The sequence below is a fragment of the Homo sapiens genome, chromosome 2 (genome assembly GCF_000001405.40).
Source record: "Homo sapiens chromosome 2, GRCh38.p14 Primary Assembly".
In the NCBI taxonomy this organism is placed as follows: Eukaryota; Metazoa; Chordata; class Mammalia; order Primates; family Hominidae; genus Homo; species Homo sapiens.
Window position 1 is genome coordinate 42064103 of NC_000002.12, and position 18028 is coordinate 42082130.

Sequence of the window (18028 nt, forward strand, 5' to 3'; positions counted from 1 at the left end):
CAAGCACCCGTAATCCTGCCCTGAGAGGTTCTGTCAGCTTGCCTGGCATGGAAACTAAACTCTCGCACCATTTCCCAGAGACCCCTCTGGTGCCTTCGGTTCTTCAGCACGAGGGTCAGTCTCAAGAAAAGGCTCTCATTTTGTCCTATGCTTCCATGATGTCAATCTTCTTATTTATTGGCAGCAGGCTGGACTGGGGGGTGGCAGGGGGTGCAGAGAGGGGATACAAAACAAAAACAAAACATACAGTGTGCCTTACTTTCCATTGCTTGGAGATTTCAGGCACTGTAATTCATCTGAACTTGTGCAGAAGATAATAGTAAGGTTATCTGTATCACATTTCATTTTATGACATATCACCTTGTTTACACCGCTCTTTGGGTTGTATATGGGATATAGATTACCTTTAAACACTCTGGTTTTGTTTAGTCCTTTTATTCTGCCATCAATAAAAAGTTTTAAAGGCAACCATTGTTCTAAGAAATGACTATTGCACTTAGGGCACAAAGCTACTTTAATTGAGAAAGACAGATTATCTTGTACCTTGGCCTCCCGTATCTTATTGAAGCAGGCTTTGATGCCGTGCGGAGTCTTCTGACTCCATCGTTGAGCTATGCAGCATTCTGCAGTTATTAAGAGCAAATGAATTTCTTCTTTAAACACAGACCTCTGCTTAGCACATTTAGTACTATTTGACTTGGGTCTCAAGATAGTGCTATACCCGGAATGGACTTCGCATGCCGAATTTTTTTAGAAATTACCCACAATCCTATCACATATGCTGAAGTGACCTTTTTTTTCCTATAGGCTCTCCAACAATGTGCTGAGATGAAGAGATTTCTACAGGGTACTTTCGGGTTAGGAACTTACAGGTTAACTCTTTAATGCTCAAGTCTTTATGTAATCCATTCATGCTGCTTCTGAAAATATATTCTTAGCAAATAATTCAAAATATGAAAAGATTCAGATGCACACAGATGCTCCTTGCAACATTATTTAGAATAACAAAAATGAGAACTGTTTGGCAATATGAGAAAATGTATAAATTATACTGTTAAATGAAAAAGCAGTATGCAACCCATATATTCAACTATGTAAGAATAAATTTGGAGGCTGGGCACGGTGGCTCACACCTATAATCCCAGCATTTGGGTGGCTGAGGCTGGCGGGTCACTTGAGGCCAGGCGTTCCAGACCAGCCTGGCCAACATGGTGAAACCCTGTCTCTACGAAAAATACAAAAAAAATTAGCTGGGCATGGTGGCGTGTGCCTGTAATCCCAGCTACTCAGGAGGCTGAGACTTGAGAATCACTTGAACCAGGGAAGCGGAGGTTTCAGTGATCTGCAGTCCAGTCTGGGTGACAGAGTGAGACTCCATCTCAAAAAAAAAAAAAAAAAAAAAAAAAAAAAGAGAGCCCCCCCCCCGCCGCCCATCTCAAAAAAAATAGTGGAAGAGACTGGAAGGAAATACACAAAAACCAGTAATTTTGCAAGGATGACAAAGGTATTTTTCTTTTATATATATATTTTATTATACTTTAAGTTCTAGGGTACATGAGCACGATGTGCAGGTTTGTTACATATGTATACATGTGCCATGTTGGTGTGCTGCACCCATTAACTTGTCATTTACATTAGGTATATCTCCTAATGCTATCCTTCCCCCCTCCCCCCACCCCACAGCAGGCCCCAGTGTGTAATGTTCCCCTTCCTGTGTCCAAGTGTTCTCATTGTTCAATTCCCACCTATGAGTGAGAACATGCGGTGTTCGGTTTTTTGTCCTTGTGATAGTTGCTGAGAATGATGGTTTCCAGCTTCATCCATGTCCCTACGAAGGACCTGAACTCATCATTTTTTATGGCTGCATAGTATTCCATGGTGTGTATGTGCCACATTTTCTTAATCCAGTCTATCATTGTTGGACATTTGGGTTGGTTCCAAGTCTTGGCTATTGTGAGTAGTGCCGCAATAAACATACGTGTGCATGTGTCTTTATAGCAGCATGATTTATATTCCTTTGGGTATATACCCAGTAATGGGATGGCTGGGTAAAATGGTATTTCTAGTTCTAGATCCCTGAGGAATCGCCACACTGTCTTCCACAATGGTTGAACTAGTTTACAGTCCCACCAACAGTGTAAAAGTGTTCCTATTTTTCCACATCCTCTCCAGCACATGTTGTTTCCTGACTTTTTAATGATCGCCATTCTAACTGGTGTGAGCTGATATCTCATTGTGGTTTTGATTTGCATTTCTCTGATGGCCAGTGATGATGAGCATTTTTTCATGTGTCTGTTGGCTGCATAAATGTCTTCTTTTGAGAAGTGTCTGTTCATACCCTTTGCCCACTTTTTGATGGGGTTGTTTGTTTTCTTCTTGTAAATTTGTTTGAGGTTCTTTGTAGATTCTGGATATTAGCCCTTTGTCAGATGAGTAGATTGCAAAAATTTTCTCCCATTCCATAGGGTGCCTGTTCGCTCTGATGGTAGTTTCTTTTGCTGTGCAGAAGCTCTTTAGTTTAATTAGATCCCATTTGTCAATTTGGCTTTTGTTGCCATTGCTTTTGGTGTTTTAGACATGAAGTCCTTGCCCATGCCTATGTCCCGAATGGTAATGCCTAGGTTTTCTTCTAGGGTTTTTATGGTTTTAGGTCTAACATTTAAGTCTTTAATCCATCTTGAATTAATTTTTGTATAAGGTGTAAGGAAGAGATCCAGTTTCAGCTTTCTACATATGGCTAGCCAGTTTTCCCAGCGCCATTTGTTAAATAGGGAAGCCTTTCCCCATTTCTTGTTTTTGACAAAGGTATTTTTCTTTATTGCCAAACCTTTTATATGTGTTGTGATTTTTTTTTTTTTTTTTTTTTTTTTTGAGATGGAGTTTCACTCTTGTTGCCCAGGCTGGAGTGCAATGGCGTAATCTCAGCTCACTGCAACCTCCACCTCCCAGGTTCAAGGGATTCTCCTGCCTCAGCCTCCCAAGTAGCTAGGATTATAGGCATGCGCCATCACGCCCGGCTAATTTTGTATTTTTAGTAGAGATGGGATTTCACCATATTAGTCATGGTGGTCTTGAACTCCTGACTTCAGGTGATCCACCCGCCTTGGCCTCCCAAAATCCTTGCTGGGATTACAAGCATGAGCCACTGCGCCCGGCTGTGTCATGATTTTGTCTGGTTAATACAAATGGTTTTATTTATATTGTCTTTCAACGTCTTAAAAAAGAAGTTCGATCTTTCTGCCTAAAATGGGACCAAAATCTCCCATTTTGTTATATAACCTTTATTTATCCTGGACTGTTGGAAAGTCAGCCCCACTAATTCTTTGATGCCTAACAAGTGTTTGATGGCCTACTACAGGAGCTGGAATCACAAATGACTATAGAGCCAGCAGGGAAGGGATCAGTGGTGCCTAAGGCCACCTGGAGAACTTAGGCGTGATTTGCATAGGTATTTCAAGAAAGCTGGAATTTTTTGTGACTCTCCTGATTTGTACACTTTGGCTACTTGTTCAAATTCAAAATTAAAATGAAATAAAAAGACATTTGTGGGCCAAACAGAAAATGTCTAAAAGCTGGATTCAACCGGCTGGCAGTGATTTTATGACCTCTGGCACGAGACCCATTTCTGAAGTTATAACCAGCTGCCTGATTTCTTAGCACTCAGACAACCAAACCTTCTCCATGTCCTTCCGTCCCTTCTTCCTTGGCGAGCCCTGCACCACTCCCGACCATGCGACGAGGGTGATGAAGAACATTGGTCCTCAGAATTAGGAAGGCTTGTGAATCTGTCCCTCCTTGGAAGCATTTCTCCTGCCAGAACATGAAAGCTGGAGACATTTTTGTTATTAATTCATTTCTCTGTCTGTCGCTTACATTTAGTGTGGCTGTGAGGAATGAATTTGATGGTGTTCAAATATGACCAATTTCATCCTTAAGCCCTTCTCAGTTGTCAGATGGTGCCAGCCAGTCCTAGGCTCTGTTTCCAGTTTGCTGTCAATCTGACTTCAGCAGTCAGTGTGTTCGTCACTGTTTATTCCAATACCACTGCCCTGTCTGGCACACTGGCCAGCTTCAGAGGACTGACCTTAAAAGGTGGCCACCTCTTCTGCTCCAGCTCCACTTCCCCTGTCTCCCTCCCCCTCTCATCGTTGGGAGCATCTTTGGCATCTCCGCCACGGAGGGATCCTATCTGCCTCTATGCTGGCGTCTGCTTCTGATCTCTCATGAAAGGCTTCAGGCAACCTCCACTTCCAGAAAATGATCCTTTTCCCTGCAGTGACCCTAGGGCTTTGCCACACAGATTTCCCACTGTTCTCGGATCCCTGGATATTGGCCCCTGGACTTGCAGTAAGGTGCAACAGACACCCCAGGACTAACCATCATCCCCAGTCCCCAGCACACCAAGGACCATCTGGTGCCATGAGGTTGACGTGACATCTCTGCTGCCCTGGGGGCATTGGAAAACTGCATCAGCATGGTCTTATAGGAGCTTGTGCACTGATCAATGAATTAATCACCAATCAATAAACGAATGAGCTGAGGCTCACCACTTAGTCATTTTAGCTTCTGTACAGTGAAGCGTCCCTCCCTTCTCCATGCAGGACCCGTTGTGGTTACGAATGCCTCCTATTAGTTCTTTGTTTATTTGGGGCATTGCAGATGCTGCCAGATGTTTACTTTTAACGTGAGGAGAATTACACCACTCCTGTGGTTGTGGAGAAAGAAGGGGGAGCTCAGGGCTGCGAAGGTGGGAAGTCCCTCCACAGCCCAGTCACTGGGAGTTCCTTCCCGCTCCCCTCCAGATGTGGCCCAGCCCCTACCCCATTTTGTCAAGTCAGCAGATCCCGACTATTCCAAGCATGGAGGGCCTGACAGCCTCCAGAGCCCAGGCAGCAGCACATATGGCCCAGCATGTGGTGTGCACATATGTAACTCCGAGGTCACGCCGGGCTCCACCAGCCCTCCCCGCACTCAGACCAGGACTCTCACTGCAGAGTCCCCGTCTCACCTGGCCCTTTAAAACAGCTCCCTCCTTGACAAGATCAAAAGGCAGAATTACCTTTTGAATTATTGGAGCTGCTGGAAAATGACACTGTTGGCAGGTATGGCCATGGTACTACCCCAAGACTAACCTTGGAACCCCACAAAGCCTGACCTATTTGCAGCAACACCTCTCAGCCTGCAAAGTCCATTAGAATTGGTGGGATCTTGTGTGGCCAAGAGGAGCTGAGGCTGATGGCAGAGGCCAGTGCAAACGCAGGTTCTCCCCACCAGGGTCCAGATTCTTTCAAAGACATGCAGGCTATTACCTACAGTCCACATCTTTTGAATGACAGTTCCTGATCCACATCACCTTATGCCACCATTACCTCTGCTGCTGGACAAGGAGGGAGAGCCTGCTCATTTGTCCATCCATCAGCCTGTTTAGTCCATCCTCCTCTCCATCTGCCTTCCTTCTCCCTTCTGCCCTCCTGGGCTCTAATAACCTAGAGCCTACAGATACCTTCCTTTTCTTTTTCCTTCTTGGTGCCCAGGAAGCACAGCCAAAAGGCAGAAGCTCATAACCTGCCCATACTCCCAAACAGAAATGAACCCGGGAGGAGGGAGGGATGAGCAGCAGCTCCCTGTCCAGCTCAGCCCAGCCCAGCCAGGCTGGAGGAGCCTTGCAAATGAGAAAGGCCCAGGGCAGAGCCACGTACTCATATTGTAGGACTGAGGACTTACAATATCAGTATGACTGAGTTGGCTGCAGCCCATATGCTGGCTTCCTAGAAAATAGACCTGTCTCCTTTCTGAATGACAACTGAAAGCTGCTAAGAGAAGAGGAGATGCCCCTTGATATCTTTCTCAAGAACTTGTTTTTCCAAGAATAAATGGGATGCAAAAATCACCAAACATTGTTTCGCTACGAAACAGTGAACTGACCCAGTTGTAGTCATGCCTGTATCTAACCCCTCCAAACCACCATCCTACACCATCTCCATCCCTTTCACCAATCCACAGTACAGATGGTCCCCAAATGATGATGGTTCAACTTACAATTTTTCAACTTTATAACATGTGAAAGTTACACATATTCAGTAGAAACTGTACACTGAGCACCCATACGACCGTTCTGTTTTTCACTTTTAGTACAATATTCAATAAATTACATGAAATATTCAACCCATATTATAAAATAGGCTTTGTGTTAAATGATTTTGCCGAACTGTAGGATAATTAAAGTGCTCTGAGCATGTTTAAGATAGGCTAGGCTAAGCTGGATGTCTGGCAGATTAGGTGTATTAAATGCATCTTCAACTTACAATATTTTCAACTTACAATGGATTTATTGGGATGTAATCATGTCATGAGTCAAGGAGCACCTGTATGTAATTATTCTGTTAGAAACTGAAGTACCCCCAATCCAGCACGTATCCTTCCTTTTCCTCTCCCCATAGCTGCTTTGAGGCAGGGCTAAAGCCAAGGTGATCTGCACCACTGCCTCTTCCAAAAAGCCCCTCCCTCTTTTCCTTAAAGACTTTTGGCCGGGCGTGTTGGCTCACACCTGTAATCCCAGCACTTTGGGAGGCCGAGATGGGTGGATCACCTGAGGTCAGAAGTTCAAGACCAGCCTGGAAACCCTGTCACTACCAAAAACACAAAAATTAGCCAGGCGTGGTGGCAGGTGCCTGTAATCCCAGCTATTCAGTAGGCTGAGGCAGGAGAATCACTTGAACCCGGGAGGCAGAGGTTGCAGTGAGCCAAGATCATGCCACTGCACCCCAGCCTGGGCAACAGAGTAAGACTCCATCTCAAAAAATATAAAAAATAGGCTGGGTGCGGTGGCTCATGCTTGTAATCCCAGCACTTTGGGAGGCTGAGGCGGGTGGATCACGAGGTCAGGAGATTAAGACCATCCTGGCTAACATGGTGAAATCCTGTCTCTTCTAAAAATACAAAAAATTAGTCGGGCATGGTGGTGGGCATCTGTAGTCCCAGCTACTTGGGAGGCTGATGCAGGAGAATGGCATGAACCCGGGAGGCAGAGCTTGTAGTGAGCGGAGATCACGCCACTGCACTCCAGCCTGGGCGACAGAGTGAGACTCCGTCTCAAATAGATAAATAAATAAATAAATAAATAAATAAATAAATAAATAAAATAATAAACAAAAACGACTTTTGCCAGCTGGGCACGGTGGCTCAATCCCAACACTTTGGGAGGCTGAGGCGGGTGGATCACGAGGTCAGGAGATCGAGACCATCCTGGCTAACACAGTGAAACCCCATCTCTACTAAAAATACAAAAAAATTAGCCAGGCGTGGTGGGAGGCGCCTGTAGTCCCAGCTTCTCGGGAGGCTGAGGCAGGAGAATGGTGTGAATCCAGGAGGTGCAGCTTGCAGTGAGCTGAGATCACACCACTGCACTCCAGCCTGGGCAACAGAGCAAGACTCCATCTCAAAAAAAAAAAAAAAAGACTTTTGCCACCTCCAGGGGACCCTCTCCTTTCTTCTTCTCTGTTCATTCAGTCTTTGACCCTTCTAAGAAGGTAGATCCATCAATTAATAATTTAATCATATATACACACAAGTCCCATTTTCCTGTTTTGTTTAACAATGTTACCACTGGGTGATTCTCTCTGAAAACTTTCCAGGAGCCTAAGGGAGAGGACACGATGGAAGAAGGGTCTGGGAAACACACAAGGAGAGCTGGGAAATGTGTGGCTCTAGTAGGCCGCTCCTGAAGATGAGCAGAAATTCAGTTATTCCAGCCTTCTCCAAATCCAGAAGAAAGTATCCAAAGCTTAGCTGAGACTCTGGCCTTAACCTTAACCCTACCCCTGTGAGTCAGTGGATCTCAGACCAGGGAGAAGTCATTGGACGCAATAGAGGATGTTGCTGGGCCTTCCCCAGAGGTCACGGAGGAGGCGCTTTGGTCTAGTGGTTATGAGCTTCAGCCCTGAAGTAAAGCACCTGGTTCTGAATCCTGGCTCCATGAATTATGCCCATGGGACATTACACAGGTTCATTTCTATTGTTTAGCCTTAGTTTCTTCATGTGGGAAAGGGGATATTAATAGTACTTACCTGATAGGGTAGTTATGCAGTATAGAGTAATTCTGGTAAATCATTGAGCCTATCACATCCTAAGTTCTCAGTAAACATTAGCTATGATTATCATTACTGTGTTTTATTATTGGGCTCCAGACCCTGCCCTTCCCTAGAGGTCCAGAGAGAGGATGCCCGCCTCTCTGGGAGTGAGTGTGCCATGGGCCCATCCAGGCTACCCCAGCTCTGTATTCAACCAGATGTGGCTCTGTAAGTACAGCAGATGAGGCAGGCTGGGAGCGCCAGGAACTGGACAGGACCACCCATGGGGCTGCGGTAGGTGCTGGCAGGACGGCCTCAGCTGCAGCTGCTGGGCAGCTGTCCAGAGTGACAGGCAGAATGCAGTGTACAAGGGTGTGGAAACAGACAACAGGTGGCAGCTCAGCACCAGTTGGCGGCTGCAGAGGGGAGTGGCAGATTATCTAGCATTTGGTAACAGGGCGTTGCTACCAGCAGGTGGACCACAGCCATGGGCAGTTCCAGAGGGGTCTTCTGAAATGTAAGCAGGCAGGCAGCAAGAAGAAAGTCTGTCAGCAGATCCCGGAACCCAAAAAAGGCTAGATGGGGAGCGGGAAGGAGGGGAGAGGACCAGAAAGAGCAATGCAGGGCCTCAAGCCTGAAAGGACTAGACAGGTTGGCAGGAACCGGCCACAGACGCAGGACACAAGGAAGCCTGGCATGACCAGAGCCCAGGCACGCAGCAGCAGGAGCAGGAGGACTGCATGGGATTGGAGTACGGCAGGTCCTAATGTGGTGCAGCCCCTCCCCCACCCCTGAGCCCAGGCCAGGCCAATCGCCAGGGCAACCAGGGCAGGCCTGAGCCTGTGCTATCCCCAGGATGAGGGTGCAGAAAGGGAAGTTGGAGGTCATCGTGGGGGTAACTCCTCCCTCCTTCTCCCTGCCTCTCTTTCTCTCACACACACACATCTAGAGTTCTGTCCAGCTACTATATCAATTCTCCTGATTCTTGCCCTTTTGCATGCTTTCTCTTCCCTAGCTCCTACTTACTGATGAAGAAATAGAATCAACTCTCAAAATGAAAAGCCCACTCTATCAGAACCTAAACAGCCCTCCAACAGTCATCTGGTAAGTGACAGGTCCCTAGGCTTCTGCTCTGTGCCCCAATGGAAGGAGCAGTCTGCAGGAGGGGACGTGGCTAGAGAGGGCTAGACTCCCTCAATTGAGGAAGGAAGGTGAGGGTCCCCATAGCCCCTAACTTGGGTTCATCTCCCACATGTCTCCTTAGGCTTGGCTAACAACCCCCTCCATAGACTCCATTCTGGGCCTCTGTCATGCCAATGACCCCAGAAGACTTTGTCTTGGAGACTGGGTGACCTTGGGAGCCAGGCTCAAGCTTATCTATTCTAAACTCACATCTTCACAGAGGAAATGAACCTATATTCATCTCCATAAGATGCTAAGCCTCGCTTGTACATGTACATTAGCTCCTAAGCTTCACACACATTTTTATGGTTTCCCAAGTCACACATGCGTGCTCTTAATCACTGGCCTCCAAAACTTAAGGGTGTGAGCAATGAGAATAGACACCATATTGGGGTGCCCCATAAGGGCAGACTGTAGTCACTAGATCACCCCTTACCCCAACCTCTTGGCATGTCAACCACATTGTCCACCCTGCTCTGGCTGTTCTTCTACCTCCCTAGCAAAATGGTCTGAAGTGACTTGGGCTTGCTGGGAGCAGGCCAGGCTGCCTTCTCAGTTTGCTGTTGGCTTTAGAATACGGTTACTCATGTGCATAGCATATGGATCCAGCTGGAGCTGAATTCCATGGAATCTATTTGGAGTTAGGGATGGAGTAACCAGAGTCACAGAACTTCCCTGACCTCCAGGCCTTCCTGGATACGCAAAAAGCAGAATGACCAACAATTTAGATTAGTTTAGATCTTCCCAGCAGGAAATGTAATAGAGAGAAGAGGTTACATAGGTGAATTAACAAAAAAGAAAAGCCACATATGGGATGATGAACCAATCCAGAGGTGAGAAGCAGCAGGGAGACACTTCTGCCCTCAGGCTGGAGGGGGTGAGGAAAGAGAGGAAGTGGGGTTACCAGAGCCCAAAGCCAAGGCTGCCCAGTGGGAACTGGCAACCAAAGAGAGAGGCAACATGTGTTGTGAGCTGGAACCATGAAGAAACCCAGATTCTGCCAAAGACACCACAGGAAGCAGAGAGCAGCAAAGAGAAATGAACATCCTAACTTTCCCCCTCCTACTGCCTTAAAGTCTCCTGCCAGGACCCCACATTGGTTTAACTCACCCTGGAAGCCATGGGCAAGGAGCCTGGGAAATGTAGTTCCTGCAGAGGAATCCTGGAGGGGCAAGGAACCAATCTGAGAGCAAACAGGCAATTGCCAGCACAGCCAAGAATGACTATCTATGGGGCCTTGTATGAACCACTTGCAAGTGTCTCTGTTTTTGAGAAATACTAGAGCCAGCTCCCCAGGGAGCAGCATCCTCCTTCACCCTCTCAGTCTCACAAAATTGGAAATGGGTCAGCTGTCTCTGGTGGAAAAGTATGTCCTGTTAATGTGCACAATCAGAAGATTATTTTGCAGGCTCAACACAGTAGGATGAGACCTTTGAAGGAAACCAGGCATTGTCTGTAAACAAGTGGTGCGTCCCTCAGGGACTGTCTTCACCCCCTGGTTAGGGGCTGGGCTGAGCCCAGGCACTAGGGGGCTCTTTGAGTCATTTCCTACAATGGAAGAAGGCATGCCCTGTGCCTTGGGGAATGGTGAGGTATCTGGCTGCGGACCATGTGGGAGGCATTGTTCAGGACACCAGAGCACTCAGCATGTTCCTTGGAGAAGACCAGAGAGCTTCCTCCTCCCACCCCTCCATGTGCTCCCCCACACCAAGGCCACATGTGGCCCAGCTTCCTTCAGGTCTCTTCCAGTGTCTCACCTGAGACTTTTGGCCTGAGCGTGCATGGAGCTCCTGCAAGCTCCACTTACATTCTTACACTCTTCCCAGGCACCCCACACTCCCTTTTCCCCCTAGCCACCCCAGGAGCCAGTCCTGATATTGGAAGCCCCTCCCTTCAAGGCCCCCAGCTGAAGAATCCTGGGAACAAGGGTAAGGGAAGAGGTAGGGTGGGGAGAGGAAAAAGACATTTCTAAGATTCCTGGAAGCTTTTCTGGCCCCAGAGAAGGAAGGCTTTGAGCCCAGCACGGGTTCAGAATCTGAATATGACTCCAAGAGAGCATGCAAAATGGAGGATTCTTCCCACCCTGTCTTCGCCCTCCTTGGGCAATCACAGCCTAACCCCTGCCCAGATACTGGCATTTACTAGTTTCAGTGTTTCAAGTAAGTCTTGTTTCTTCAGCTGCTCTGTAAGTTCTCCATAGGCAGGAGTCAGATCTGTATAGTGCAGAGTTCTGCAGATGCCCTCCCCTCATCACGCTGCACAAATCCAAGCAGTACCTTCACGGTAAGTCCTGTGCAGGGCTTGCTACACAATTGGTGGGGTCCAGTGTAAAATGAAAATACAGGCTCCTTATTAAACATTGTTAAAAACTTCAAGATGGTGGCCATACAGCATTAAGCCAAGTGCAAGACCCTTCCAAGCCCAGGGCCATGTGCAACTGCACAGGTTGCAAAACAATGGAGCCAGCCCTGGTCCTAGGTGGTGTGTGTGGTAGCTTGCTTCCAAAGATACCACCATCAATTCCTCACCTCTCTGTGCCCACATGCTACTCCTACACCAAGATGTGGAGTCTGGGCTGGGTGCAGTGGCTCACGCCTGTAATGCCAACATTTTGGGAGGCCGAGGCAGGTGGATCACTTGAGCCCAGGAGTTTGACACCAGCCTGGGCAACATGGCGAAACCCCGTCTCTACAAAAAATACAAAACATGCCGGGCATAGTGGCATGCACCTGTGGTCCCAGCTACTTGGGAGGCTGAGGTGGGAGGATTGCTTGAGCCCAGGAGACAGAGGTTGCAGTGAGCCAAGATCATGCCACTGCACTCCAGCCTGAGTAAAAGAGCGAGACTCTGTCTCAAAAAAAAAAAGAAAGATGGAAAGAAGGAAGGAAGGAAGGAAGGGAAAGAAAGAAGAAAGAAAGAAAGAAAGAAAGAAAGAAAGAAAGAAAGAAAGAAAGAAAGGAAGGAAGGAAGGAAGGAAGGAAGGAAGGAAGGAAGAAAGAAAGAAAAAGAAAAAGAGAAAGAGGTAGAGTCTAATTTCCTTCCCTCGAATCTGAACTGGACAAATGGAATTCAATGGAAACAATATCCTTGTACATCCAAGACTAAGTCACAAGAAACCCTGCAGGTTCTGCCTGGACCTCTTGGAATGTTTGCTTTTGGGACACTCCCTCTCAGAACCCGTCGTGCTGTGAGAAACCCAAGGCACATGGAAAAACCACATGTAAGTCAACAACCCCGGCTGAGCCCCACATGGACATCCAGCATCAGCCAGTCAGGTGAATGGAACACCTTGATCATCTAGCCTCCTTAAGCCCTTGTAGGACTGCAGCCCAGCTGACATCTGACTTTATCAACATGAGAGAACCCAAGTGAGAACCAACCGGCTGAGCCCAGTCAACCCACAGAACCATGAAAAATAAGAATAAATTGTTTTAAACCATGAAGTTTTGTGGTGGTTTGCCCATGTAACAATAAATAACTGAGACGTGCTTCAAGGAGTGGCATTCACTTAGGATACGATGTGAATGTCCTGAGTTGGGTGACACCACAATAATGGCTGAGCACACACTAGCAGCTCAAGAAAAGCTGCTCGCTGGCCTGACATGCTGGCACCAGACACGTGGGCCCCTACCCCACAACATGCCCTGTCTCTGACAGATGCTGTTTGTGATGAAATATCTGCCATCTGGTTTCAACCTGCATCTTCCTGGCTAATAAGGATGCGGATACTGCTGTCTCCAGAGATTCATGACCACTTCCTCCCACCCCATTCCTACCTTTCCTATCTCAGGAAATGGGCCTCTTTACCCATAGCAACATAATAGAATTCCAAAACCAATCTCACAGCCAGTTTGAATATCTGTCTTTACTGTCATAATAATGCAGACACTGCACCTGTCCTCTAATTCTGTTCTCTACTCTTGGGTTTGTTCATTTGTTTCTCTGGGATCTTTAAACATCTGATTAAATTCTGTGCTACAGATGAAAAGTTCTGAGGATGGAAGATTATCAGGCTTTGTAACTTTCATCAGCCCTCCTTTCTGCTTGGCAACTTGTTGCAACCCCTATTCTCTCTCTCTCCTCAGTCTTTGCCTCCCAGAAATCCTCCTGTGCCCCAGGAATCCCTCTCCCAGTTGCTGGTCACAACATCCTTTCCCACCTAAAGCCCAGCCCTGAAACCCATGACATGGGCAGCCCCTAGAGGAGGAACCCAAGTCAGTGCACAGCCTGAGGCTGCTGAAAGCTGGAGTTTGGTCAGGAAGAGGACTCCCCATCTCCCCAGCTGGGAAAAGAGGGGTCCAAAACCCCAGGCTAATATGCACCCTCTTCCTACGATGTTCCTGACCACCTGGCCCCGTTCCTTATAACACAAGCTCCACCACCTAATTTGCCTCTGTAGGAAGTGGGTGACCGTGCGGGCAAAACTAAGTGACCAGAGATCCAAGGCATTGAGGCTGGGCTGTACAACCACAGGGGGTCCTGAGCCTGCATCTCCCACCAACTGCCCCCACTGTCCTGTGGGAAAACAAAAGGATACAGTGGGACTTGGGCCACGGGCCACGATTCATCTGCATAGCTTGATCCTTACTTTTGTTTGTGAATATAAATGCCACTTTAGACACCCTGGTTGCAAGATAGGTGCCTAAGCTATTCTCATTTACCATATTACTTGCAAGCAGCATATTCAGCTACCAGATGGGTGGTGGTCTCCAGGCCAATAACTCCAATGTAGCAGGAAGCATTTTTGAGATAATGACCAATTTTTTTCTACCCCAAACTTCCTTCTATCCTCCCAGCCCTCCACCCTACCCCACTCCATCGCAAACTTATATTCAAGCAGCTAGATTGTTCTACACTGTCTGCCTCAAGGGAGGGATGTGATGGAGAAAAAAAGGAAAATACAAGCTTTGATGTCTGGACAAGATTAAATGTTTAGGAGAAACATCTTGAGTGTGGGCAGGGCTTCTCTCCACTCTTCCTATACACCCCCACCAAAACCAAACAGTCAGGAGTCCTAGGAAATGGTGAGTGGAGGAGAGACAGGAAGAAGGTGCAGGGCAGAGAGAGGCTACAGCCCCAATATGAAGGGCTCATGCAGGTGGGATAAAGAAGGGGCAGCAAAAGGCACTGCTGCCACCCAGAACTCTGGGCACCGGCCTTCGCCAGTACCCAGGGACTCCATGGTTGCCTTTCTTGGAGGGCCCACTAGTAGCTCTTCCTCCCTCAGCAGCTCTCTCCCCAACCAAGTTACCCCCATCCAGCCCCACAACATCCCAGGACACCTGGATCCTCAGGAAAAAGAAACTGGACCCTCAATCCCCAGCTCAAACCCTCACTCACCACTCACAGGCTGGAAGATGGTTGAACACACACCAGTTGGGACACAGACCGAGTGCTCGCTAGGTGACAGGCACCCACTTAGGGCTTTTCATGCCTTATCATATTTACTGATAGACTAGGCATGCAAGCACCTCCTGTGCACCCTTAAAACCGGGCCTTGGACTTACCCTCTCCACCAAGCCTTTCCTGATAAAACTACTCAACATCTTAGAGGTAGTTACTCTTTCCTCGGTGTTTTGTCTGTGAACTTTTCTTCTTTCTATTGTTCTCCATGTTGCACTGCACCGTAATTATTACTGATGGTCTCTGTTATGAGACTGGAGCATTTTGGGAGCAGGGCACAAGTCTAACTCCTTTTTGCATGCATGACTCTCATTGACACATACTAGGTACTCAATTAATGTTTGTATCATTAAATAAAATTTTCCACCCGATTCCCTTTCTAAAGTGAAAAAATAGAATTCCTCATTAAAGCAGCCACAAAGCAATGGAAATAATCCTAAAGAACAAACAATTAAAGAAAACACAATGTGGTAAACCATCCTCAGATTTCCCATGTTCTTAATGTCGCTTCGTGTTTGCTAGAGCAGCTGCACCGAGTCCCGCCATCTTGATTCTTCTTGCCTTCACCACTCTCCTCCAGCCCCAATCTTACCACTGCGCCCCTCATTCTGAACTCTGGCTAGGATCTTGCCTCTTACCTTATTGAGAAGAAGAATGTTTGATATCATCGCCCTCAAATTCCCATCCCTCTGTCTCGAAATCTTTCTCAAATGACTGGCAAGAGCTGTGGGGGAAGGGGGAGCCTCACACACTGCCTGGGTGAGATTGATAAAATCTTACTGGGGTGCAGTTTGGGGACATGTAGCAAAATGTTAAATGTGTATAACCTTTGACCTAGCCATTCAACGTCTAAAAACATATTCTAAAGAATCAAACTGGGTGCAGCAGCTCCCAACTGTAATACCAACACTGTGGGAGGCCAGAAGTTTGTGATCCGTCTGGGCAACATAGCAAGACCATGTCTCTACAAAAAACAAAAAACTTTAAATTAACTGGGTATGGTGGTGTGCACCTGTAGTCCTGGCTACTTGGAAGGGTAAGGTGGTAGCGTTACTTGAGCCCTGGGAGTTAGAGGCTGCAGTGAGCTGTGATTGCACCACTACAGTCCAGCCTGGGTGACAGAGCAAGATTCCATCTCTAAAAAAGTGAAAGAGAGAGAGAAAGGAAGGGAGGAAGGAAGCAGGGGGAGGAAGGGAAGAAGAGAGAAAGAAAGAGAGAAAGGGAAAGGAGGGAGAGAGAAAAAGAAAAGGAAGGAAGGAAGAAGGAAAAGAACTAGACAAGTGCACCACAAAATGAGAAATCCACAAGGATGGTCTTTGCACTGCTGTTTATAAAACACACTCTTCTAGTCTTGTTTTTGTCCCGTCTTTGTTTTCTGGGTTGCAGCCACTCTGGCCTTCTTTCCATTGCTTTTTCTTCTCCCTCCTTCTCTCCTATCCCAAAAGTCTCCACATTCCATCCTAAAGTGTCCTCCCCCGTGTCTCTCATCCCACTCCATCTTCTTCAACCTATTTCAGACCCTCCAGAAGTCACCTAGAGAATATCAAGAGAGAACCTTGAAAAGAGAACGTGCTTATGAGCAGCACACACAGTAGGTCTTGGGAAGGAACATGGCAGGGTGAGGAAGAGCCGTCCCTGCCGGGCATGCTGGCTCCCTGGCTCCCACCCTTGCTGCGCTGCTCTACCCAGGCATGGGCAAAAAATCCTTTTCTCCTGAGTTTACCTGAAACAGATTAGCATTTTTCAAAAAGAACTTGAGTTTTAGGTTTTTATTTTTAATGAGGAGGGAGATAAATTCTAATAAATGAAACAATTTTTAAAAATAGAAACAAATGAAGTTGTGTGTTGCCTATCTTAACATAATGAGCACCTGGCAAGATATCTCTTCCCTGGTAAAGTTCACTGAGCCCCCAGGCCCTGGCTCCCTGCCCTTCAGCTCTGTGAGCAACCCCCCAACACAGCTCACTGCTCTTTCCCACCGTGACAAGTGGATCAACAAGCTGGCCCTTTGGATGAATAATGGCAATCATGTTATTTCTTTGTGGTGGTTGTTCCAACTAGTACTATGTTTTATCTTACTATCTTACTATACATTTTTATTTTTGAAAAGGTAATTCTTGAATATGTTTTAAAAAAATTCAACAATAACAAAGCATATACAGTCAAAAAACTAGTAGTTCCCTCTGGCTCCTAACCTAAGCATCTGACTCTGTTCTCCAGAGGCAGACACTGTCCCCTTGCCAGCATATATGGAGAGGCTGAGGTGGGGTACACTCCACACCCTGTTCCCCTCCTTGCTTTTTTTTTTTTTTTTTTTGAGACAATCTTGCTCTGTTGCCCAGACTGGAGTGCAATGGTATAATCTCGGCTCACTGCAACCTCCACCTCCCAGGTTCAAGCGATTCTCCCACATCAGCCTCCCAAGTAACTGGGACTACAGGCATGTGCCAACATACCCAGTTAATTTTTGTATTTTTAGTGGAGATGGGGTTTCACCATGTTGGTCAGACTGGTCTCAAACTCCTGACCTCAAATGATTCACCCACCTCGGCCTCCCAAAGAGCTGGGATTACAGGCGTGAGCCACTGCGCCAAGCCTCCCTCCTTGCCTTTTTCACCTAACAATATATCTTAGAGGTTGCTCATAGCATACATACAGATCAGCCTTATTCTTCCTATCAGCTTTAGGAACTGTAATCTATACATCAGGTCCCCTAGTGATGGACACTTAGCTTGTTTCTAGTCTTTTGCTATTACAAACATGCTACAATAAATATATCTGTTAGAAATATAGATATTTTTGTACGTCTGTTATAAAAATGTTAGAAATGAAATTTCTAGGTTAAAGCAAATTTGTATTTAAAATCTTGACCAGCCTGGGCAACATAGCGAGACATCCCAGGAGTTAGAGGATTCAGTGAGATATGATCATACCACAGGACTCCAGCCTGGGCAACAGAGCAAAACCCCGTCTCTTAGAATAAATAAAATAAAATCTTGATAAATATTGCCAAATTGCCCTACAAAATGGTGTTCCAGTTCACTTGTACCAACAATATGTGAGTCTTGGTTTCCTCAACAGTTTTATCAACCTTCCACCAAACATTTTGCTTTTTGCCAATGTGATTTTTATAAAGAATGGTGTTTTGGTGTAGTTTTAATCCTTTTCTTTCTTTCTTTGGGATTTTTGTTTTGTTTTGGATTTATGTTTGAGTCAGAGTTTCATTTTGTCACTGATGCTGGAGTTCAGCAGCGCAATCACTGCTCACTGCAGCTTCAGCTTCCTAAGTAGCTGGTACTACAGGCGTGCACCACCACACCCAGCTAATTTTTTTTATTTTTTGTAGAGACAAGATCTCCCTATGTTGCTCAAGC

At 46.6% G+C, this 18028-nt stretch overlaps 1 annotated feature.

The window, feature by feature from the left end:
• Window positions 4925-5089: a silencer, noted in NCBI's record as "fragment chr2:42296167-42296331 (GRCh37/hg19 assembly coordinates)". NCBI's record gives its function as "represses an EF-1alpha promoter that drives an FKBP-Casp9 reporter gene in an ReSE screen in phorbol 12-myristate 13-acetate-treated (for megakaryocytic differentiation) K562 erythroleukemia cells {active_cell/tissue: K562(+PMA)}" and the evidence as "EXISTENCE:reporter gene assay evidence [ECO:0000049][PMID:32094911]".